Source organism: Homo sapiens, chromosome 6 (genome assembly GCF_000001405.40).
Source record: "Homo sapiens chromosome 6, GRCh38.p14 Primary Assembly".
In the NCBI taxonomy this organism is placed as follows: Eukaryota; Metazoa; Chordata; class Mammalia; order Primates; family Hominidae; genus Homo; species Homo sapiens.
In genome coordinates this window covers 147,552,083-147,578,175 of record NC_000006.12, presented here as the reverse complement: position 1 = coordinate 147,578,175, position 26,093 = coordinate 147,552,083, and the positions used below count along the sequence as shown (strand labels likewise).

Below are 26,093 nucleotides of genomic sequence, written 5' to 3'. Positions count from 1 at the left end.
TAGAGAGAAACCTCTTCTGATGGACAGTAAACTAAATGCATGGCTCTTTCTTATCCTTCTTGATTCTCTCTACTATATATAACTTTGGAAAGTGAGCTTTGTAAATGCATTTCGACTTCTCTCCATTGCATGGCAGAGTAAGAAGCTTTGCCTTGTTCCTAAAATTGCATTTAACAGATCTGTTATTTTGGTAGACTGAACTTTTGTAATAGTGTACCTGATTCTAGAATATAGCTTTCATTGGTTTATTCTTTTCCAATTATTGGTTTAGGTTATGCTATGGTTTGTGATGTGGAAATACTATACACTAGATTTACATATATATTCAGTTGCTACAGCCTTTTTAAAAACACTCTATCATCAAAAGTACATAAAACCTGGCTATTTTCCTTATGAAAATGGCTATTTTGGTTTATATCAATGATGCCTCTGGGGATTTTAAGTGTAAGGATAGATTTATTTTCATTCAAAAATCACTTTTTTGCCAACTCTCTCCTCATGCCTTCAAAACCAGGAAATGTGCCAAGATTTTTAGAAAATATATTTACTTATTCTTCAAATGTACTTGGAAGGATATTAAAGCATAGAAAAATAAAAGCAGATGAATAGGATTTGTAGGCTAAAAGAGATATATTCAATTCATTTAGTTGTAGGTTCCAAAAAGGAAAGAGAGAAAAAAAGAAAGAAAGAAAGGAATGAGGGAAAGAAGAAAGGAGGACAGACAGGCTCAAAAATTTGAGGCAATTATTGTAATGTTTCTCCAAAACTATGCCTTAATTAATTACACCTATCAAATTATTGAATTAACTTCTCTTTTAAACATGTGTATAAATATTACTCTTCTTTGTATTGGTAGGGGCAATGACAAACGTTTTCTAAAAGGAATATTTCTAATGTGGACATGGAAGTTTTATAAAGATAAGAACTACTAGAAGTTATGCATTCAGCAAGACGGTTATTGATTCACAAAAGTATAGACGATGTTAGCTTGCCTCACCCAAAGATCCACTGAAAAAAGACTTTCATCACTGTGAAGTACAAATTCCTTCAATTTAGGCATGAAGGAGAAGATTTGCAGGCAGTAGGAAATCCTGGGCATTGGTATGAAGCTGCCTACTGGTTTTCTTAATTTTAAAAAATGAGGATTATCAATCACATAAGACAAAACAGGTAGAATCAAATTGTGTAATAGAAAGTTATTTTTATTCCAGTTTTAAAATTCTAAAAAGTGTATTTTCCTCTTAGAATCTGTAAGGCTATTTCAAAGGGCAATTTAATACTCCTTGGGGAATGGAGGATAAAAGCAATTAAAAACCAGTGTAATAAAATTAGATTCCATTTCAGTCACCAAATATGTGCAGTGTGCTTTATGCATGTTACAGCTAATATAGCAAGTCTTTGTTTTATAAATCTAAGGACATCACAGATAACAGAAGTTAATTTTCTAAGGTACTTAAACTCTCTGTGCCTTAGCTTCTTCACCTGTAAAATGGATCAGTAACAACAATTGTTTATTGGGTTGCTAGAAGGATTGAATGAAACTTGTACATAACTTGCCTTGACTAGTGAAAGCACTTGGTATTTTTTAATGAAGGCCACCTGGTAGTGAAGAGTGTGAGGCCACTTTCTCCCTGGTCCCAAAGCCCCACCCCCTTTCCACTGTACCACACAGACTCTGAGCATAAAGGAATGGAAGTCTAAAAGCTCCTGAAAACATCTTAAAACTTGAAAATATTTGGTCAGGCACAGTGGCTCACGCCTGTAATCCTAGCACTTTGAGGCCGAGGCAGGTGGATCACCTGAGGTCAGGAGTTCGAGACCAGCCTAGCCGAAATGGCTAAACCCCGTCTCTACTAAAAATACAAAAATTAGCCCGGCATGGTGGTGCACGCCTGTAATCCCAGCTACTCAAGAGGCTGAGGAAGGAGAATTGCTTGAACCCGGGAGGTAGAGGTTGCAGTGAGCCAAGATTGTGCCACTGCACTCCAGCCTGTGCAACAGGAGTAAGACTCCATCTCAAAAAAAAAAAAAAAGTTTAAAATATTTTAACAGAATTCTAATATTTAAAGGCCAAATAGTAAATTTTGAGCTGCCACTTAGAATTCTAATGAAAACATAGTATTTCTTGCCCTGAACCAGCAGTGAGAACAAACTCCTGCTCTGCTTCCAGTAGTGGGTGTGTGTATTGGTAATGCAAGGGGTAACGCTATAATCAGGCATTATTATTAAAAATTAAAATAATAAAATAAAAAATTGATATTGTTCCATGAGGGAAGGTGCTAAATTCTATAAAATATGTCTAAATAATGATTTAAAGACTTTCCATGAGCCAGGGAGCTCCATGAAATACAGAATAATGGCAGTAAGCCAAACACAACCGGTATGTATTGTGTATCCACAGGGTAAATCATGTCAGAGACCCACTGGAGAATAATATTAGCAGAGAGTCAACTACAAAATATATCAAAAGATATTCTTATTCTGAGTCTCAGGCAGTTACACGCAAAATGACTAATATATCATTATCAAAGTCAAGGGACAGTTGGTAAAATGAAATGGATGGTCCGAATTTCCTTGTAATTTCATTGATTTGAATGCACATATTTTCAAATTTAACACGTATGAAACCAGAGTTGAAAACAGGAGATGGAGAATTATAGTCAATTTTGACTGGCAGCTATTGATACAGTTGCCACAATGTGCAAACACACAAATATGGCTGCCATTCGTGGTGGCACAAATGCAGAGCTGCAACCCACATTTGAGCCAAGAAACCATTTAATGGCCATTTGAGAAAAGAATGAGTTACTGTCTGAAAACTTTCTGCAGACAGCTTCTGGGGAGATCAAGAAAGTTCCAGCATATAAATGCATAGAAAGGTTTGGATGAAATCCAGATATGACAGAGGGGCTCTCTGAAGTGCTACTTTAGCAATGCCTCCCTGGGCCAGAGAACCTGTGAGGACAACAGGGCCATAGATGGACATGAATTGAAAAGATTCAGAAGAAACTGCCTACAAAAGTCCTATAGAATTACCTTACATTTACTTAGCTTTGCTTTCATTGTTATGTATGTTCAACTGATAAATCATAAATATCTATGTAGAAATAAGCCTAAGATAACTCTATCAGTAAGTTGAAAATAAAAATCTAAATGGAAAACATATTGTAAACTTTTAATATAGTTAAACTGGCAGCATTCTCCTTTCTTAATGGTACTTACTGGTGGTGCTTTTCATCTTAGATTTGATGAAATGCAGTATATCTGACACAGAATGCTACAGTTTGAATATGTTCCCTTCAAAATTCAGGTGTTGCCAATGTGATAGTATTAAGAGGTGAGGCCTTTAAAATATGAGTAGGCCATGAGGGGTGCTCCCTCAGTAATGGTATTAAGTTCCTCATAAAAGAGGCTTCACAAAACATTCAGTCTCTTACCCTTCTGCCTTCTGCTATGTGATGACACAGCCAACATTCTCTGGAGAATGCAACCCTCACCAGACAACCCAACCTGCTGGCATCTTGATCTAGGACTTCCCAGCCTCCAGAAGTGTGAGAAAATAAATATCTATTCTTTACCCAGTCTCAGGCATTCTGTTATAGCAGCACAAATCAGACTAAGACACCATTTTCATCTGGTCTCCTCAACCCTCAAGCACTCCCTCTTTTTTGAGAACTTTGTCAATCTTCTACTGTCCTGCTTCTTGATATGTGGTCCTTACATTTGATTCTGCATTAAGTTTAGTCCCTACAGAAGATAAATAAAGGTTAAGAGGACAGGCCTAAAGTCACACTGCTGAGATTCCAATTCTAACTTTCTTGGTTACTGGCTGTGTTACATTGGGTAAATTATGAAAAACCCATCTTTTCCTCAGATTCCTCATCTGTAGAATGAGAATAATCTTAAGATTAAATGGGATAATACATGGAAAGTGCTTTGAATTAACCTGGGCACATATTAATTTTTTTTTTAGTGTTGGCAACCATATTTTTTGATGTTTGTGTTTTGTAATTGAGTAATGAATGTAAGTTTTTTGTTTTTTTTTTTTGAGACACAGTCTCGCTCTATCGCCCAGGCTGGAGTGCAGTGGCGCGATCTCAGCTCACTGCAAGCTCCGCCTCCTGGGTTCATGCCATTCTCCCACCTCAGCCTCCCTAGTAGCTGGGACTACAGGTGCCTGCCACCACGCCCGGCTAATTTTGTTTTTGTTTTTTTAGTAGAGATGGGGTTTCACCACGTTGGCCAGGATGGTCTTGATCTCCTGACCTCATGATCTGCCCTCCTCGGCCTCCCAAAATGCTGGAATTACAGGCGTGAGCCACCGTGCCTGGCAATGAATGTACGCTTTTATTCTAGCATATCTTGAAAACAATTTTCATTAATGAGTCACAAACTTCTTTTCTGTTCCCACCCTCCACATTCTACTGCCCAGCTGATATGTAGTAAGGACTTGTGTTCCTCCAATACAAAATCCTCTATCATTATCTTACATTTCATTTTGCTAAGTTTTCCCAGAAACCCTCTGATGGGGCTATTAGTAACCTCACTTTTCAGATAACAGAACAGACTGGAAAGGATTTAGTAACTTATGTAAGGTCACATGGTGACATAGTTTGGCTGTGTGTCCCCACCCAAATCTCTTCTCAAATTGTAATCCCTATAATTCCCATGTGTCAAGGGAGGGACCTCATGGGAGGTGGCTGGATCATGGAGGCGGTTTCCCTGATGCTGTTCTCATTATAGTGAGTTAGTTCTCACGAGATCTGATGGTTTTATAAGCATCTGGCATTTCCTCTGCTTGCACTTCTCTCTCCTGCCACCCTGTGAGTCCTTGCTTTCCCCTTCACTTTCCACCATGATTGTAATTTTCCTGAGGCCTCCCAGCCATGTGGAACTGTGAGTCAATTAAACCACTTTCCTTTATAAATCACCCAGTCTCAGGTAGTAGCTTTATAGCAGTGTGAGAATGGACTAATATACACAGCCAGGTGTGAAGAACGGGGCTTTGTATCCAGGTTTGTGTGACTTCAAAGCTCTCATGTCCATTTCTGGCTCCCATGTAATCCGTATATATCAGAGGAAGAAAAGGAAAACAAGACACATAATGACTGCAGAGTTGCAAGCTCATTCTTAAGGCAAGCAATTGTAATTCTCAGCAGCTTTGTGGGATTCAAAGTCAGATCTGAATGACCCTGGACTGTTCTTAACTACTTCACTCTTTTTTGCCTTTACTTTGGTACAGGGTAGATGTACCCTTTGGGGAAGAAATAATTATTTCCAGGGACAAAATTATGGGTCACAAATTTATATCAAATATATCCAAAAGGGGATGTGTCCAAAATGTAATCTAAGAGGGAAATTAGGGTTTGTGCAAGACACATCAAAATGTCTTGGTATTTTGTCTGGCAGTATACCATATACTAACATGTATGTGATTAAGTACATTAACTATAGTTTGATTAGCTATAATTGCAGAAATCAATTGATTATTAGTTTTAATTGCATATATCCCTCTCATAATTCACAGTAGGAATATATGATCTAAAGAAAATCTTAATTCAAATAGTGCAACATTGGGAGTCTGAGGTGGGAGGATCTCTTGAGCCCAGAAGTTTGAGGTTGCAGTGAGCCACGATCATACCACTGCACTCTAGCCAGGGTGACAGGGTGAGACCCTGTCTCACTGTGTCATTTCAGTATTTTTCGTGTGCTTTCACAAATTACAATGTTTACTACATTTCTGCAACAGAAAACCTAATTGAGTTTATAAAATTTTATTTTTTGAATTTTATTTGCATTTATGGTTTTATACAAAAGTAAACAGGAAAGTCAGAAAATCTGAATAATAACAAAATCACACCATAAAGTGAACTTCCAAAAAGGAGAAACTTGGTTTCCCATGTATAGGGGAGAAAGCCACTATCCTTCCAACACAAAGCCACAGTGGTTCCTTCAGGTTCCCCGAAAATAGGAAATGCCCTGTCTAACCATCTCACATAACCTCAACATTCAGTTTCTTCAGGCTTATGAGAAAGTTCACTTAGTCCTTCATTCATTCTACAATACTACTGAGCACCTGCACCATGCCAGATAATACACTAGGAACGAGGGAAGCACCAAGTGGGGAACAAACCCAGTGGGACAAACCAGATGTACTGATGGCCTGGTGGAGGTCATCAAAAAAAAAAAAAAAGTTGAAATTACTCACAGATCCCATCTGTGTCTCAAACCTTTCACAGGGTGTGTTTAGCAATGCTGTCCACTGAGCACTTTTGCAGATGGGAGACTGAAGGTGTAAAAGGAAGTGACTTAGACAGCTCTGCTCACCAGGAAAACCAAGAGACTGGATTTAAGGACTTCTGATTTATAGGCAAGGATTTTTTTAAATTAAATGTATATTCTTCACTCAAAATGGCTATTTTTGTAAATGCTATTATGTAGATTAATTAACTTCCAAAATGAAGTTGAAGTTAAATTGATTGAGCTAAAGGGATCTAAAACAATGTACACTGAATATACAGTGTTCACAATTGGTGCTCATCATTCAGCCAAGAAACAAACGAGATTCCACAGACATCCTGTCATTGGTACATGAATGTACTTTAAAATAGACGAGTTAGTCAAAAAAGTGTCCATAATTACACGAATGTACTCTGTCCTCAGGGTAACTCTAGGAGGTGGGCAGGGGGGCGGGGTGCGGGTAGAGTAAGTTTTTCATTTAAAATTATTCAAGATTCCTCTTTTAAATTAAAAAAAAATCCTCAGTGGGACAGCGAATGGCCTGGAATGAAACTAGAAGATATTCATTATCTAGATTCAGATGAAAGATGTTTTCAAAGCTGACTTACGTGATGTGATTTCATTAACGATATAAACCATCCTATTCTTTAACAAACACTTATTTGTGAACTTTACTGCAGGCATACATTTCCCCATTTTTAAAAAGTACATTTTAGGGCTGTCCACCAGTATCGTGAACTTTTCTAAATATGCTTATCAGATCAAGGAGGACCTGAAGCATAAGGTTTTAAGGCTGAAAGATCAGGTTTTCAAGCCACAATGCTGGCCCCTGCAGAGCCCTGGGGCAGCTTGGAGCTTTAGTTTATGAACAAAAGGGCTATGACTATGTCTTAAAAACCAGGGATCTAAGTTCAAACTAAGTCCATTCTAGAAAAATGAGTCTTTTTTGAAGGAGCCACAGAACCCTTTAGGTATACTTCCCAGGATTTGACATCAGACAAAAGCCAGGATTAGAGGATGTGGAAGAACGCCAATCGTCTGCCACCAACCTGGGGTGTTATCATGGGCATGCCACAAACTCACTCCTGGCACCTTAGTCTCTTAACTACACAATTTATGAATCAGACTAGGTTATCCTTAAGGTCCTTTTCATTTCTAAAATTCAAATTTGTACATATTTCTCCTAATATTTACCATATATTTTTTTTGCTTTAAATTTACTTTCTTCTCATTTTGCATCCAGTGGGAATAAAAACATGCACATGATTTGATTTAAATGATTTGATTAAAAATCAAATCATTACACATGATGACATTTATATAAAACCCAAAACACTGTGATAAAACTTCTTCAAATTAATGTCTGGGGACTGGTGACTGTGTTAAGCATGCACAGTAGTTAGTCCATTTGCCAAAGGTCCTGAGGCCAGAAAGTAGTAAGGCTGGGATTCAAATCCAGCACTCTGCGTCTAATGAACACGGAAATATTGCTTATCTGTAGTTGAATCACAACACATTTCAGGTGATAGAGATTCAGGGCTGTAGGAACCATAGCAGAAACACATGTACAGAAACTCCACACACAGCCCCTCTTACCACCCGACAGCCCCCACCATCCCATCTCCCACCGCGGTGAGCCACCATGACTGGCACAGAATCACACAAGAGAAGGCGACAACATACTCACATATAACAACCATACCAAAGGATCCCAGCTCGTAAGATGGATTTATTTCACTTTGATGTACAGTGTGGCAAGACCCACTTTTTCCTTTCTTTCCCGTTAGAACTCTGATTTCCCATGCTGACCATAATGCATACCATAAATATTTACATATTGTCAATTTAAACAATGCACAAACTCCATCACATTCATCAAGATGTGGAAGATTACAAAAGAGGCCAAGGCGGAACCGCTGTGAAAGCCGTAACATTTATTGAAGAGCGGACATATGTTTGCAAATCACAGTGTGCATGGGCATGCATTACATGGTTCATAATGCTATTCCAATTAGGCTTTTCATAGTGCCTTCTCATAACGTCCTTTAAAAAAAATAATAACTGAAAGGGAAAAGAAAGTGTCAATTGCAATTACATTTACAAAACCAAACTGCTGCTTTCAATTAGAGTGAATCTGTGCTTCGCTACTCAGATATACACATGTAGATTTTCCAAGGCCCATGCACACACTTCTGTAGGGGCAGAAATTTTCTATGAATAATGGCTTTAGCAACCCGAATAGTATCTCTAAACATTGACAAGCTTGGGGAACAGGGCAACAAGTGCAATGAACAATACAATTTCTAACGTTTGTCCCAGTCAACATACCACTTTGCCCTGGAGATATTTAACACAGCATTTCATTTTTGGAATGATAAGGGATAATTCATCTAATTAAGGGTATTATACAGAATATACCTATAAAAGACATTTCCCATCTTAAATAATATTTAGAAAGTAGATTTATTGTAGATTTATTTCCTTTTGGTCCAGTAGAAGAAATTTTGGCAAAATTGTTAAGAAAAAAATACTACTTAGCTCTTAACATGGAATTTAGCCTCTTGTTTTCCTCTGAAAAGGTATCTCTCAACTGCAGTAATAAAAAATAACACTTAATTTCCAGGAGTTTAAACAATTTTAAAAAATTATCTATTTCATAAGTAGAAAAGTTATGTTCTTCAATTTTTCTTTTTTCTTTTCTTTTTTTTTTTTTTTTAGACAGAGTCTCACTCTGTTGCCCAGGCTGGAGCGCACTGGCGCGATCTCAGCTCACTGCGACCTCCACCTCCTGGGTTCAAGCCATTCTCCTGCCTTAGTAGCTGGGATTACAGGCGCACACCACCACACTCAGCTAATTTTTTTTGTATTTTTAGTAGACACAGGGTTTCACCATGTTGGCCAGGCTGGTCTCAAACTCCTGACCTCAAATGATCTGCCCACCCCGGCCTCCCAAAGTGCTGGGATTACAGGCGTGAGCCACCGTGCCCAGCCATTTTTTTCTGAACTACCTACCATTTTTTTTTCCCTTTAAGCCTTTTATGGAAATATCTAAAATAGTAGGGATTAATGATCATGGACTAGAAAGTTATTTGATTTTATGTCCTCAGAGATTAATAATGTAAAGCTGAAGATGATTTTTTAATCAAAGAATCTGATAGTGTAAAATATCTGATGTAGGAATATGTAATTGATGACAACTGAGGGAGCTAATAAGAGTAAAATTAGAAAACTCTAAAAGAGAAAGCCTAATAGATTTGCTCTGCTCTGCACAACTCATTTGATTTAATAAAGTCACTATGTGTGCATCTATATGGCTTTACTGTAAGCACAAGATGTCAGCTGATATAAAAAATTCCTAATACTTTGTACTTGGTCTGAGAATTGGCAATGTAGGGTCAGACTTTCACTTATTTCTCTTATTTTCCCTAGATGCAATGTTCCACCCTTCATGCCTTATTTGCCTTGAAATTCAGAACTTCCACCTGCCTAAACCTATTTTGATACCTAATCAAATATTACTTGTAAGAATCTATATAAAGCAAATGTTTTGTCCAAGCATTTTAATTATGTTAACTTCTTTTTTTATTTTTCAACCCCCTGTGCAAGAGACCTGTTACAATACTCAGGCTCTTATAAGGGAAAAATTCAGACATGCTCATATCAATTTTCAAGCAGGTGCTTTCCAGTCCCTGGTATATCTGGTTTTTCTTTTCATAGAAAAGAGTTTGCCGATCCACCATCATCTGCTTTGTATCTTGGTTGGATTCTTCCCAGAAGATGCTATCGGGGAACAGCCCATTTGCACTCCTAATTTGTAAATCAGTCATAAAATCAGAGGAAAATATACATATGTCACTCACTCATTTGTACCTCAAATTCATCAATCTGAAGCTGCCATAAAGAGAAGAAAGCTAATGAAATACCTTCATATAATCTGTCCATGTGCCTATTTCCCCAGACTTGAAAACTGCTGGCCTTTATGAATTTGCTGTTTTGTTTTGTTTTGTTTTGTTTTGAGACGGGATCTTGCTCTGTTGCCCAGGATGGAGTGTTATTGTTTCCTTAAATCAAATTCTTTTCATTCAATCAATAAACATTTACTGAACTCCTATGAGCAGGTACTGTAGCCTTTTTTATCCTTCCTGAGAGAAATCAAAGGGGACTTATTCAGTGGGTTTCAGGCAATGATAAGGAAATGTCAATTTATGTCTGAGTTTTCTAGTCAGCTTTAAGGTAATCTCTTCTGCATAAGAAGAAATAAGACAACTGAGAGTAAAGAAGGGAAGGGAGAGAGGCAGTCAGCACCTGCTACATGCCTAGCACTGAGCCAAGGACTGTATGTGGGTGTAAGCCATAGAACTCTTAAGCCTCTTAAGAGCTATAGAGGTATTTATTTTTCCCATTTTACAGACAAGGGAAAAGAAGCTTTAATGAGTTTCATAACTGTTCAAGATGATTCCCCAAGCTACACTATAGCTTACATCCTTAACAGATTCACCGCAGGAAAATACTACTAGAATAATTTTAGAATTTAAACTCAGATCTGAGTAACTCCAAAGTGAAAGCTCAATGCTTGTTGTTGTCATTGTTTATTGCATAACACCAAGATGCTATAAATATCTCTGAACTGAGAAATTGCTCGTATGCTCCCAGTTGAGAAACTACTATCCTTTGTTGCTATAAATTCAGTTTTCCCCACAATTACTGGTTCAGCTCCCACTTGGGTAAGGAAGAAGCCCTTAACATTACGCCTTCCCTATGCCAAGAAATCTTTTATGTGAATAAAATCTTTTTTTACCTCCCTAAATTTTAAGATGAACTAAAGAAAATTTTGCTATGACCCTCCAGACTCCTCAATATTATCAAGTGAAAGTCTGTAATTAATCTCTTTTAATACTCTAGGAAATGTAAATCAAGATAATCCCCTAGTTTTTATAACATATTTATTCTTAGTCAATTGCTACTTCTTTTATATTCAAAAATTAAGTATATTATTGGTGTTTAGATACAGAGGAAAAACGCTGAAAAAATTACTCCTTCTAAGACTAACTGTCCCCAGATACAATTCATGGTAAAAATAATCCCTTTCTCTTATATTCTACCTCTTACCTCATCTTGATTTTAATGCAAAGGAATTCGTGGGCATCCTTCAATACTTCTTTGCTTATTTGAAGTTTTCTTCCTCTAGCTTTAACTAAGATGTCTTTTTAAAATCCATTGGCTTTTTTTGCTGACTGTGACTCTTACTTTAAGCAGAGCATTGTTATTTTCAAATTCTAACCACAGACACAGAGAGAAGGTTTAAACCTGGCAAAATAATTGAAGTTAGATATTACTCTAATAGAAAATAAAACTTGAAATGACCAAGGAACCCTTTTTCCATTGCAGTAGATTGCCTCATAAGGCCCACAGTGAAAATAACAGATTTTTCAAAAATTGAGTCCTTCCTAGCAAAGTTCAACAAGTACATGCAAATGTACATCTGTGAAATAAATCAGCCACGGATGCGACACCTGGAAATGAGGTCAAACAGGAAGCCATTTGTTATCACAATAAATTATATCTGTAATCTATACAGACTCCCCTACCACTCAAAAGAATCTACTTAGGAATTTTAAAGACCCTAGTTCATTTGGAAAAAAAAAAAAGATGAAAGGTTAACTGGAATATAATCCTGATGAAACTAAAAGCTTTTGTATAATTTAAGGACAACCTATACATGCTTTTAAAATTTAACTTCCTTACATTTGTATATGATAATGAGACTGATTTTAGTCAGTGCCTGAATTAACCTACAGAAATAGCTAAACTATTTAAACTTCAGATTTTTAAAGCAGTATTGTGTTAAAATTGTCCTTAGAAACCTAATATCCTTCTTAATGGCCTATCTATTCTTAGGAACCAAAATGGACCAGGAAAAAGTGAATGTAAGTTTCTTTTCCTTTGAGAGTTTCTTATTCTTCTTACCATGACGGTGCCGATGGGAACTTACATCTTGTACATTCTTCTAAGTAGTAGATTCCGTAATGCAGTACTACTTGGGAGCTCTAAACAATTGACAGCCTCAGGAGCCAGTTGTACGTCAACATCTTTTGCCATGGCTTCTTTCAACTAAGTTTTTGGTCCCATCAACATGGTTGCGTTTTCTAAGCAGAAAATAAAACTACCAGCATCCAGGCCGGGTGTGATGGCTCACGCCTGTAATCCCAGCGCTACTGGAGGCCACGGCGAGTGGATCATTTGAGGCCAGGAGTTCAAGAACAGCCTGGCCAACATGGTAAAACCCCATCTCTACTAAAAATACAAAAAAATTAGCTGGGTGTGGTGATGCGTGCCTGTAATCCCAGCTACCAAGAGGCCGAGGCAGGAGAATTCCTTGAACCTGGGAGGCGAAAGTCACTGTGAGCCAAGATTGTGCCACTACACTCCAGCCTGGGTGACAGAGCGAGACTCTGTCTAAAAAAAAAAAAACTACCAGCATCCAAACACAAGAACGATAAGACGATAAGAATTAGAAAAACTCTAGATTCCTGTTAATTTCCTCCCCCCACCTCAATCTACTTTCTTTTTCAGCCGTAGTTCTACAGGGCTCCTCAGGCCACTGCCGCTGCCCACCTCCCGGCCCCCACAGGCCTGAAGTCAGAAGCCTGGAGAGCAAGGTGGGATAAAGCACTGCAGCTCAGAACAGGCTGTGAGCTGCGGCCCTGGCAGTCTCCACAGAGTGCAAGAAACTAGCTATGAAGTAAAATAGCTAGCTCTTGCTTGATGCATGTCAGAGCAAGACACTTGTATTAGTCCTAATACTAAACCTCAGCCAGATTAAATTTAAAAAGAGAAGTTAGAAGAAATTGTCCTCTCTTGGTGATGTTCCTTAATTCATCACCTTTAACATTGTACCAATATACAAAATAACTATATAAAAGCACCTTAAAATAAGAATTCCTTCACCAAACTATTCTACATAGAATTATGTATCTTATCTTATAAAAACATGGTCCTATATGAAATGAAGTAGAATGTATGCTTGAATATAAAAATTAAAGCTACTGTTCTCAAGTTAAAAGCAAATTTGGAAATAATATAATTACTACTTACTGTCAGAAATCTACCTTTTTGTTATATTGTACTTAAACTAAGTTATGACTCAAATGCCTTAGCCAACCTCATCTGTTTTCATTAAGAATGGAAGGGAGAATGCCAAGAAATGCATAAGACTGTATCTCATCATGATATCTTCTTAAAAAAATGAACTCAATACTTCTTTATGCGTGATAGTTCACTGCCTTATTTCTAGCTGTTATAAGCCAGTTACCCAGTTTACTAAGTTGATTATTCCAGAATTTGTCCAAGCAAAAAGTTAAGCTGATGAGTATTTCCAGGGTCATCATCCATTTCCCTTTTTGAAAGAAGGTTCTAAATATGCCCTTTTCCAGTCTTCAGGCACCTCATCAGTCCTCCACGAGGTCTCAAAAATGATATCTAGCGGCTCTGTGATGACTTCGGCCAATTCATTAAGTACTCTAGGATGCCAGCCATTGGGACCTGTGGATTTGAACATATCTGGGTTATTGAAGTTCTCCTTTACCCATTCTTCCCCTAGTCCATCATGGATTTCTGCTCCTATTTTTAAGTCATTCTTGTCCCTTTCTGCTTACCACATGGACTTTTGAAGAACAGCCCTAAGAGTTTTTGCTTGTTATCTATCAATTTTCTCTTTCAAGCTAATTAAAAAAGAATGCATTTTATCCTTGTCAAGCCTATATTTTGTTTAAAAAGGCCTACTTTATTTTCCTTTTATGTTCCTTCTAAGAGGTGGAAACTTAAAAAAAAATGGTTAGATAAAAATATACCTTGTAATAGTTTGCATTCCTAAGTCACATTACTCAGTACTACACGTTAGCAACGTTAGTACTAGAGCAATAGTCAATACATTGTGAGACATTCCAAAGGCGACCTATCTCATGCTGGAAGAGCACTTATCTTTTCAACTTGTAGCTGCAAGTGCTAGTTTGAAATGCATCTTCCAAAGTAAAAATGATTCACAGTCATATTTAATCATTATCATCTGTATGTATAAACAGTAACTTTTTCACATAGGCATGTAAAAACCATAGTTGCACGTGAGCTGGAAAGAGGTTAATTAAGTATTTCTTACAAAGCAGCAACCTAGTCGAATTCATTTGCTGTGTGGTCTTTGCCATCAAAGTTCTTGGGTTTATATTACACTAATTATCTCCAAGCTCTGATAGGTGTTGACAGTTTTAACCCCTTCATTGTCACAATGATCCCTCTGAAATTGAAAGGCAGCAGTAGATTACAGTGCACTGCCCATCTGTCATGGCTCTGCTGTGTGCCCACAATCCCTTGACAGATCTAGATGGACAAAGAAGAGGAAGAAAAGGAAAGTTGGAAGGAAGAAGGATGCCTGAGTCTTTCCTGGAAATTTTGTGCTGCTTAGATTCAACCGCTTGCTTATTGAATTGGAAAACTTTTGGAAAAGGTTAAATCAATTTTGTTCTCCTTTGTTTTGTTTTGTTTTCCTAGTCTCTATCTCTGCAACCTCTCCAAGCCTTGTAAGCTCCCAAAAAATAAAAATCATACTGCAGACATCATCAAGACTCTTTAAAAGAAGAATTCTGTACATTTCTCTAAGGTACAGCAATTTGTTTTAGCACCTGCCATTTTCACCCCTGCTCAAACAGCCACCTGCTGACGGCAATATGTTAGCTAATATGTCATTATTAATTAGTTTGGGTGACACCATCAGGCAATCACATCTAAATAGATGGTAAGTATTACTATCCAGGCTTACGAAGTTTCTTTCTCCAGAGAATCATCCTATTTTGCTGTAATACTAAGTAACGATATCCTACTACTATTTAATATATTCAAATAGTCGCCAAAATAAAGCCATATGCAACCCAATACCTCTATTAAACATCAGCTCTTGTTATAAACTGCGAAAAAGTAATCTTCAACCTATCTGAACAAACCAAGTTGTTGGGCTTTTGTGGGGAGGAAGGAGGAGTGAGGGAAAATTCCATAGAGAAGGGAAGTTACCTGAATATAAACAAGGTAACACTTTGGGTTTTATTTATTTATTTATTTTTTTTTGAGACGGAGTCTCGCTCTGTCTCCCAGGCTGGAGTGCAGTGGTGCGATCTCGGCTCACTGCAAGCTCCGCCTCCCGGGTTCACGCCATTCTCCTGCCTCAGCCTCCCGAATAGCTGGGACTACAGGCGCCCGCCACCAAGCCCGGCTAATTTTTTGTATTTTTAGTAGAGACGGAGTTTCACCGTGTTAGCCAGGATGGTCTTGATCTCCTGACCTCGTGATCCACCCGCCTCAGCCTCCCAAAGTGCTGGGATTACAGGCGTGAGCCACCACACCCGGCCAACACTTTGGTTTTTAATGCTCTAATAAATGAATACATAAAAAGGTGTTAACACCAAAAATTGCATTTACTATACAGTACAAGAAAACAAGCTATTTGTGTCAGAAAAAAAATCCAGGAAAATCCTTAGGTTATAGTGTTAGGGGTCACTCAGATGGCAACAAGACTACTTCCAAGAGAAGAAAAGGCCACAGAGGGAGTCCGCTTTTCTTGAAGACATTCTCATTATAATGCAAGATTCCATGTCTGCCCCATGTTCAACAGACTTCTGCCTGAAGTCAGAGACATGATGCTGCCTTCCTTCAAAGGTCACTTTGCTCTAGAAACATAGAAAAATAAAGAAAATGCCTTTGGACAGATTATCATTTAGCAAGTAAAGACACCCTGCCTATAAACCCATCTAACGGTGTGGACTATGAAGTCATTTCACAAATCTAGTGTCAAACTAACAGCCTCCAAAACCTCTCATGCCTCTGATTCCACAAAAACAAATCACATTCATTAAACAAGTCCAGCCTTGCAATCTGCTATTTTTCATTCACTGAGGGAGTAGGTGGGGGGCAGATGAACAGGATTTCCGCAATGGGTCATGGAGAGTTTCAAGATGTGAGAGCAGTCACAGAAAACAGTAATTAGTGGAGCATATGTTGCTTCATGACCATAGGAAACGTCAGTGATTTCCCTGTGCCGAATGCGCCGTCATTCTTTTCTGGCTGATCACATTGTGGCACTCCAGAGGCTGGTCTTGATAGATCTCACTCTTCAAGTGGAACAGAAATGAACGGTTTTAAAATTCTGACAAGCTTGAAGGAGGTAACTGCTGAAGACAACTATTACAGAGCTGTCCCCATACGTATCACACATTTCTCATATTTCATTTTCCCCCTTAATTATTAGGCACACCCCTATGAAGAAAATAAAAGCTCTTTCTTCACTCCACCAAGAAAAATAATCTATTCACATGTGTTCACAGTCTTCTTTCTCGGTTATCATACTAGGTTGACTTAAAAATCATGAAAGGCATTGATCCCTTCTTAAAATTCATGAAAGCCAGCCAGGCACAGTGGCTCACGCCTGTAATCCCAGCACTTTGGGAGTCCGAGGCAGGCAGATCACAAGGTAGGTTAGGAGATCGAGACCATCCTGGCCAAAATGGTGAAACCCTGTCTCTACTAAAAATACAAAAATTAGCTGGGCGTGGTGGCACGTGCCTGTAGTCCCAGCTACTCAGGAGGCTGAGGCAGGAGAATGGCTTGAATCCGGGAGCTGGAGGTTGCAGTGAGCCGAGATCAGGCACTGCACTCCAGCCTGGTGACAGAGACTCCGTCTCAAAATAAATAAATAAATAAATAAATTCATAAAAGCCAACCTCTGCAGGAATAAATACCAAGTTATATTTTGGTGTCTTAACACCCCTAACATTTTGCATTTTTAAAGACAAGGTTTTGTTATTGTTGTTTTTTAAAGTGATTGCCAGAAGTTTCTTTGTAGTGTGCCAAATTATTATCTCCCTATTTCTAGGAAAACATTGCTAAAAGGTTTACATCACAGTTAGTCTATTCTCCCCCTTTGACTTTGAGACCACTCTCAATCAGGAAGTTCTTACATTCAAGCCACCCAAACCTAATTCTTGGGTTGTGACTTTCTCAGTTTCATTTGTTCTAGGCTTTTATGGGGTTTGAGGGGCCTTTCATTTCAGAGGCTAGGCAGTTCTCCTATGCCAAATCTCCTATCAGTGTTAGAATTCTAATCTGAGAAGCAGGGAGAGGCAGTAAAAGTTATTCAATGAATAAAGAAACTATTATCCTATGGTTAAAAATTAAGATTTATGAGATTGCATTTTTTTCTCAGTTGATTACTCTGATTTTTAACTGACTTCAAGTCTGTTACTCTTTTTAGCTTGTGATTTTCCTCCTAATTAAAGGCAATCAGAGTGATATGCAGGCTAAACACCATTCAGAAGTCATTTCTCTATTGTGACATTATTCTAAAGGATGTAGCTCAATTGCAGCTGTAGAACCAGTTGACACACATTTTCCATATTTGGTTGCTGAAGAAATATAACCGGTGACTGTATATTAATAGTATGAAATTTGCATACAATTTGGGAGACAACTGTGTAACAAAAAAATTGATGACAGTAGGAGTGTTGCTTTCCATCCTTCTGGGTAACACAGGGGCACAAAGCAGAGCCTTTGGGTGGTTGGTGACAAGACACAAGATTTTTTGACCTCATGACATAACTCAACTTCAGTTTTCCAACATTCAGCTACGTTACACTGGCTGTTACTATAGGACCAAGAAAGGTGGGAATTTGCATGGAGAGCCTCACTGTAACTGTAAATTTCTCCAAGGGCAAAACCCCCACATTTTACATTTGTTCATATCTCCTATAGGAGCATTATATGTAATGTCAGCCACTACTACTGCTGACCGATTGAATCGTCCCTACTATAATTTTCACAAAAATTTTTCACTAAACTAAGTTCCTATTGGAAAAGTTTAGTCTAGAAAGTCAGATAGTCTTTATTGCCTACACAATAAAGAAAACATGATAACATATGTTCACTGAGCCCATATGTGTCTTAACAATCATCTTTCCTCTAAGCATCTCCTCTTCGGCTTCTACAATGGGGAAGGCTCAGGCTGGCTCCAGAACCCCAACAGGCTGAAGGATGCAATGTTAGGTTATACAAATAGCTGGCATACACACGTGTCCTGATATGCTCTTTTTCTATTTAAAGAGTTTTCTAGGGTACATTTTCTAAGATTCTATAGAAGAGAAAAATGTTTGGCCTACTCTAGAATGATCCACATTATGATCTACATGTATTTTCTTTTTTTTACTTTAGAGGCAACTACCCAAATGTCATCCTAATTATAAACTCTTCTCACTGTCCTGTCTTCCTCCGAGGTGTGTCCTTAGTAAGTGAAATAATTTTCTCTACTTCCTGGAGAAAAATTCAGGGCTTCTCGCTGCCTCTTCAGGGCCACACAAGTTCTAAACTTCATTCGGGACTTTTCTGCAGCTTCTACACGGTTTCTAACCTTCATTCATGACTTCTCTGCGGCTTTCAGCAAATGAAAAGTATAGTGGAGAGGCTGGCTGGACATTTTCCTACTGCTTTTTCTTCAGAAAAAAACTATCAGAAACAAATTCAGAGTTAAAAAAACAAAAGCCTCTTTGTTTATGCTATCCTGGGGCATTAACCGATTTTATAATTTTTCCAACTGCATAGCTATGCAAATTCCCTACTTTCTTAAAAGTACTTTGCTGTACTCATCACTGACGCTTCTGAGAATGCCAACTTCCTACACAAAAGAACACCCCACAGGGCTGTGGTCTGCAGGCTGCCGCCAGTGCACCCAGAGACAGTTGCTTCTGAGGCCAGTGCCGCCTTACCGCCTGGAGTCAGGGCCGTGCCTTATCTCAATCAGGAAGAAATGACCGGGAATTTAACTGTTGGGAATTCTGTACTGTACTTTCAACCATTATTTAATAATTAACAGCTGATCACAACAAGAAGTGGGGGCTAGGTCACCACTCTTTCAAGAAGTTTAATAGAACGATTAAGGAGGTATTTGGTAGTTGGAAAGGACAGCGATTTTAAGAACGAAGAGGGAGCTTGGGCATATTTTCAGGCGGAGTGGAAGGATTCCATGGAGACAGACTAAATGCAAAAAACAAAGGGATAATTATGAACCATAATTATCACCTGGGTCGGAGTAGATGAGGTGGGAGTTAGCCTTAAAGGGGAGTGGGGTAATTTCTCATCAAAATCAGAAGGAATGAAGACAGATGGGTCAGTGGGCCCACACATTTGGAGGTGAGTGAGGGAGGGCGGGACTGTGCCACGGACCACTTCTCAGTTCTGATGGGCCAAAGCTACCTGCAGAAGAGCCCATGAGAGGGGCAAGGGCAGAGTTTCTAGGAGGACGGGGGGGAGATTCGAAAATAGCCACCAAGAGAGCTGTGACAGGAAATCAATTTGACAGCTGCAGGAGGGCAGGTTTAGATTGGATTGTCTGGAATCACAGTGATAGATGCCTTTAGATTTTTCCTCTGTCTTGTGATTCAGGTTCTCCGAATACCATCCAAAATGTGATCAAGACACAGGCCTTATAATTACGCAGCACAAGCCCAGAACAGAAATAGCCATAAATGCTGGAGTGTGCTGAACGCCAGTGTCTGGCCTCTACTGCAGTTCGTTAAAATATGGTGGGTCTTTGGATACAACACTTCTGTTGCCTGGCTCTCATCAGGCTCCTGGGCTGCTCACTTGAAGTTCTCATTCTCTCCCTCCTTCTGTCTCTGTCTCTCATCAACCTATTCCACAGGAAAATCATCTATTATTGTATACTAATTGTCTTTGAAATCACCATTAACATTAATCTGCTAACTCATACTTCAATTATCACCAATATAATTGCCATGACGGTATGCTTATAGAACATACTATGATTATTATTACCTGCCTGCTCCAGCAACAGCAGCAAACGGCTGCTAATATTTACTGAGTGAACTCCCTCTGTGCCTACCTCCCAGGGACTGTGATGTGAACGTACACTTTTACATAATCACCTTTACTGCTTACCACAAGCCAATGTGATGGCGATCCTAGACCCAACTTTATAAATGAAGAATCTGAGGCTTTAAAGTGTAGACAACCTACCAGGGTCAAACTGCTAATCAGTGGCAGGGTGGGTCTGTGCAACAGCAAAGCCCACTTTATCAAAACTACTTCTATGCTCTGCAATCATTTTATGTTGGGAAACTGTAATGGTTGAATAGTGTCCCCCCTCACAAAATTCACATCCACCTGGAACCTCAGAATGTGACCTTATTTGGAAATAGAGTCTCTGCAGATGTTCTTAATTAAGGATCTCAAGATGAAATTATCCTGGATTTAGGGTGGGCCCTGAATCTAATCCCTGGTGTTCTCACAAGGAAAGGAGAGGAGAGGACACAGGGACATACCAACAAGAGGCCAGGTGAAAGTGGAAGCAGAGAGTGGAGTGGTGCAGCCACAAGCCAAGGAATGCCAGAAGCCACTGGAAGCTGGAAAAGACAAGGAAAGAGTCTCCCCTAGAGGCTCTGGAGGCAGCATGGCCTTGCTGACACGTTGATTTCAGACTTCTGGCTGTGAACTGTGAGAAAACAAACTTCTGTTGTTTTAACACACAGTTGGTATTATTTTGTTACAAGCCCTAGAAAACATAGGCTCCTTTGCAGGAAAGATAGAATTTTAAATGTTATTAGAAATGTTTTTTAATCCCTTCATTGATACAAAGGTGATTTTAGACAAAAGTATTTTATTTTTATTCAGAATATAAAATGTTATGCATGATGCTTATTTAGTTATATTTAATGTCATAATGAAAAAGTTTGACTTCTTCCTATTCAATAAATGATGCAAACTTTAAATTATGTATGAAAAATATGATTTGTTAAAATACATTAAAAACTATATGTTTATATGTTGACTCCATGTATATTAATATGCAGACTGAGATTTAACTATTGGTTACAGCATCAAAACTAGAAAACAGTCAACATACAGAACTACTGTTTTTCTTTTGCTCAAAATATCCGCTGGTTTATTTATTATTTACTTGAATATTTGTGATTTATTTTAAATTGCAAGACAAGAGAGAAGGTTTTAGTGGCCACTTTCAAGCATTGCTCTATAAATAACATACTATCGTTGTAGATATAATTTATTTCTGATAAATTAAAATTGAAAATAATTGCCAGTATTTTTGTTTTTATATCAGTTATTGAAGAATGAGAGTTTAATATGTGATGTAAGCATATTTGAGCTCTACAAAGTTTTCATTTTAAAGATAAAATTATTTAAGTAATTGTCTCTGATGTATTTAAAACTATATAATGAAAAGTCACTATTCCCAACCTGGGAAACTTTTTGTAATTTCATGACAGCTCAGAAACCTCCACTTGAGAACACTGCAATGTTGTATCCCGGCCATTCTCTGGTTTTGGTTCTAAGAGCCATTTGAATTCTTAAAAATTACTGAAGATTCCAAATAGCTTTGTTTTATGGGTTATAACTATTGATATGTACTGTGTTTTAAATTGTAACTGTGAAATATTTAAAATACATATTTAATTCATTTAAAAATAACACTAGTAGCCGGGCACGGTGGCTCACGCCTGTAATCCCAGCACTTTGGGAGGCTGAGGCAGGTGGATCACGAGGTCAGGAGATCGAGACCATCCTGGTTAACACGGTGAAACCCCGTCTCTACTAAAGATACAAAAAATTAGCCGGGCGTGGTGGCAGGCGCCTGTAGTCCCAGCTACTCGGGAGGCTGAGGCGGGAGAATGGCATGAGCCCAAGAGGCGGAGCTTTCAGTGAGCCAAGATCACACCACTGCACTCCAGCCTGGGCGACAGAGCAAGACTCCATCTCAAAAAAAAAAAAATAATAATAACACTAGTAAATGCATTACATATTAACACAAATATTTTTGTGAAAAATAAACATATATTCTCCCCAAAATTAAGAAGAATGGCATTGTTTTACATTTGTGCATATCTCTGTATGTCTCTTTATATCTCTCTATATTCAATCTGTGGCAATATGTTTTTAATTGAAGTATATGAAGCACATCTGACCTCACAGAGAAGTATCATTGAAAAAGTAGGGAGTATCTGAACAGACTTTTCAGATAAATAATTGTAGATATTCATTTTAATACCATGGCAAAACTTGACAAGCGGCGGTTTCTTAAAAGTCACTTGCCATGTGAAATTTGAAACCATATCAATGAACTTTTCTTACTGTTTATTACATTAAAATCATTGGTCAATCTTCAACTTTTGATTGACTTTTTCCCCCATACATGATTTTATGGTATCATGTATTGGTCATTTGGAAAATATTCAGTTTCTGAATTACGCAGATCTTCCAAATGTTGACACATATCATTATTCAATATATTTTAAAAATTCCATGTGTTAATATCACCACCCAAGGTAGCCTAATCAAAAAAAATATTTAGGCAGTATGAAACTATCAAACTCACTGGGGCAAGTATAAGTTTTCTGAAATTCTTGTTTTCACTTGAACATTCAAATTTCATCATTAGCAACAGATACTGTCAATTATGCTTCTTGAAATATTAGGTTCACTTTAGTTATTTTTAAGAAATCTGCCAAATACCCAAGTCTAAATAAGCATGGCTTGTTCTCAGTTGTTCTTTCAAGTGAAAATGGTGTTACATGGAAAATGCAGCCAGTTCAGCCAGCAACTCAAACAAGAGCACAAGTGGTTTGCAAGGAGACAAGATTTACATACACGTCCATTTGCAACAGAAGTGCTTTATGAGTAGTTCTCATTTTGTTACACAGAATATTCAAAATCATGTACACAAAGGTGGAGATTTAATAAACATTAATTTCTACTGCTTCATCAAGGCTATTTTAAGGAAAAATTGCTTCTTTTGGCAGGTATATGTGGGTGTGCATATGGGTGAAGAATCCAGTAAGTACTAACACAGGTCGACGTTAACATTTTTATCCACTGTTGCTTTTGTGCTGCCAGTACAAATGCCCTCCCAGTGAAAGAGGCAAATAACATCACATTATAGTATTGTTATGCAATAATTATTACCTTGCAGACCCCCTGAAAGGGCCTTGGGGACGGCACTTTGAGAACTACTGCTCTATACCACTTCTGGATACAAGAAGTTAAGGTAGGCATCACAAAATCAGCATCAAGCGTCCAACCAAGTCATCAGTCTGAAATAGAATTCTGCCCATTCAAATGATAGCTCCATCCTAGCAATCGCTCCACATTCACCCTTCTGGCTCTCATCTGGCTCAGTCCAAGGAACTGGGAAGTCTGGAACCTTCCTGCCATTAAGGTGAGGTGACTTTTCTCTCCTGTCTGGTGAGGGGGTTGCAAAGATGGCTGCTCTGCCTGGAAAAAACATGCTTCTCTGAAGGACTGTGCTTGCCAGCCTTGCCAATCACAAGAGCTTTTGAAGTGACCCAGCAATTGTGAGTGCAGCCAGCCTGCCATATCAAAATAGCCTGTGGCCTCCTGGCAACCAAGCTCAGTTCCCCAAACACTGAAGCCTGGCCTCCACTGGCCACGACCTCACTTGATGAATCGGAAGGGGCAAGGAAGCAAGACAACAGCGTCATCCTCTTTAGCGATTCTTTCCCAGGCACATTTGCATGTTGATATGGTTTGGCTGTGTCCCCACCCAAAACTTATCTTAAATTCTAGTTCTCAAAATTCCCCATGTATCATGGGAGGGACCCAGCGGAAGGTAATTGAATCATAGAGGTGGTTACCCCCGTACTGTTGTTCTCATGATAGTGAGTTCCTGCAGGATCTGAAGGTTTCATAAGGGGCTTTTCCCCCTTTTGCTCAGCACTTCTCCTTCCTGCCACCATGTGAAAAAGGACATGTTTGCTTTGCCTTCTGCCATAATTGTAAGTTTCCTGAGGCCTCCCCAGCCCTGCAGTTCTGTGAGTCAATTAAAGCTCTTTCCCTTTTGAATCACCCAGTCTTGAGCAGTTCTTTAAAGTAGTGTGAGAATGGACTAACACACATGTTTAGTGGCAGCCAGAATGAAGGAAGTCCAGGGTACCCGTGTTGTTTTCCGTCCCATTACCTCGTCTCCAATTTTGGCAGGGCTGAAAAAGAACACTTTCAGACTTTTCAGAAAAAAAAAACATGCTGTGATGTGGCTTTCAAGTTAGACCATGGCTAACTGCTTTAAAAGAACAGTGCTTATAAAGTCATCTGAATAACCCTCAAGACACTGACCTTGTCCAAATGAACTCGGAAGAAACACAAATGTGTTACCTAAAGCAGGAAAACACGTAAATAGGACTGAGTTGTATTATGCATTGGAGACCTTACCCATTCATGCTGGGTGTTATGCAGTGACAATTCCTAGGGGAAGGTTTAGGAACAAAGCCCAGACCAAAGGACCTCTCAGCCATTGTCCAAGGTAACCTTATGGCATCGTGTCCAGCGTGGGTCCAGAGTGGTTGTAGGTATGTGAGATTGTATATGAGAAAGAGAAAGATACAGAAAGAGAGAAAACAATTTGGTAGTTGGGGTTAGGGAGTGGAGAACACATGAGGCATACTACCTCAAACCAAACCAGCCAGCCTCTAGGTATTCCCCAGCAGTCATCCTATCCCTTCCTGCCAGGACAGACATGAAGTCCTCTGATGGAAGCAGGACAGGGCAAGGGATCTGCTCAGACTCTGGATTCAAAGTCCAGCTCTGCCATTTCCTGGATGGATGGCCTTGGGCATATTACCCAACCTAACCATTCTCCGCTTCAGTTCCCCCTCTACAAAATAGGAACCACAGCAGTCCCTACATCCCAGAGAGTTATCATGAGGATTAAATGGGCTAATATCTACAAGACTGTTTAGAACAGTATCTGGCACAGTGGAAGCCTATATAACTGGTTGATTTTTCCAGTACCTGTTCTATACAAAGACATGGAATTATATATCTTAGTTCAATCACTGAGTGATGTAAACCCACCCCTAAGGAGGCATAGATACTTAGACACATCTTTAGAACAAAAACATAATGGATGTTCAGCACCATTATTAAGTTAGTCATCCACAAATGTTATTAGAATAAATCATGAATAATGTGTATGCTTTAAGCACTGTTTAGTCATTAACTTTAAAATTTTTCATTTAGCTTTGTGAAGCATGCCCTACAGAACATAACTACCATAGTAGTTCTCAGCTTGTTAAAGCATAAAGACCTCTTTAATTGTTTTTAAAAACACAGACTGCGCCTCCGCAACCCCGCCCCACACAGGCATATGTATGCATGTGCACAAACACACACACAGAGTCACCTTACTGTTAGGCTTTTCTTATTTTCCTGCTACCCTTTGATTGAGAAAAAGTACTGCTTTAAAAGTGACCAAAAATGTAAGAACACCTTCAAATGTGTTTATATAAAACACTATTTATGCAGATGTTCACTGACAATGGTTGATGCCCAAATAGGTTCCAAGAGTCTTGTATTAATTCCTCAAGGGTCTATGTTCTTTGGATTGGGAGCCACTTTCCCAGGGGAATGGTATCTTCTGAAGTGGAAATTGGATTCTTAAAGAAAATTCAATTACATTAAAATAAAAATTCATTAACTGAGAAAAAGGTGAACCCCAGAATCCCAACTTCAACTATAACATGCTTGCATTGGTTAATGTACAACAGGCAAGAGGTCTTTACAGTATTACTTCAAGAAGCAACAGGCCAACATTTTATATGTCTTCTCTCAGAATAGCTGTATTTCCTCTCCACATAATCTCCCACAGTTAGCCTTAAAACATTTCATTGTTTACTCCTTCAGGAATCTGTCTCACTGCAGCAAAGACATTAAACAGCAAAGAACACAGATAATCCCTTGTAGTTTCTGCAGGAACCTCAATTCCAGAGATAAAA

At 38.7% G+C, this 26,093-nt stretch overlaps 1 protein-coding gene across 2 annotated transcripts in view; it reads right to left on the bottom strand.

The window, feature by feature from the left end:
• Positions 1 to 26,093, bottom strand: part of SAMD5 (sterile alpha motif domain containing 5) — a 445,991-nt gene that overhangs the window by 376,505 nt on the left and 43,393 nt on the right. The window contains exon 2 of one of the 2 annotated variants that reach the window (NM_001030060.3): positions 8,155 to 13,782. The exons of the other annotated variant lie outside the window; for it this stretch is intronic. Within the exon in view, the coding sequence (NP_001025231.1) occupies positions 13,720 to 13,782 (63 nt within the window). The 3' untranslated portion in view covers positions 8,155 to 13,719. Of the gene's footprint in view, positions 1 to 8,154; positions 13,783 to 26,093 lie in introns of those variants that run through there. 2 annotated transcript variants of the gene reach the window in all.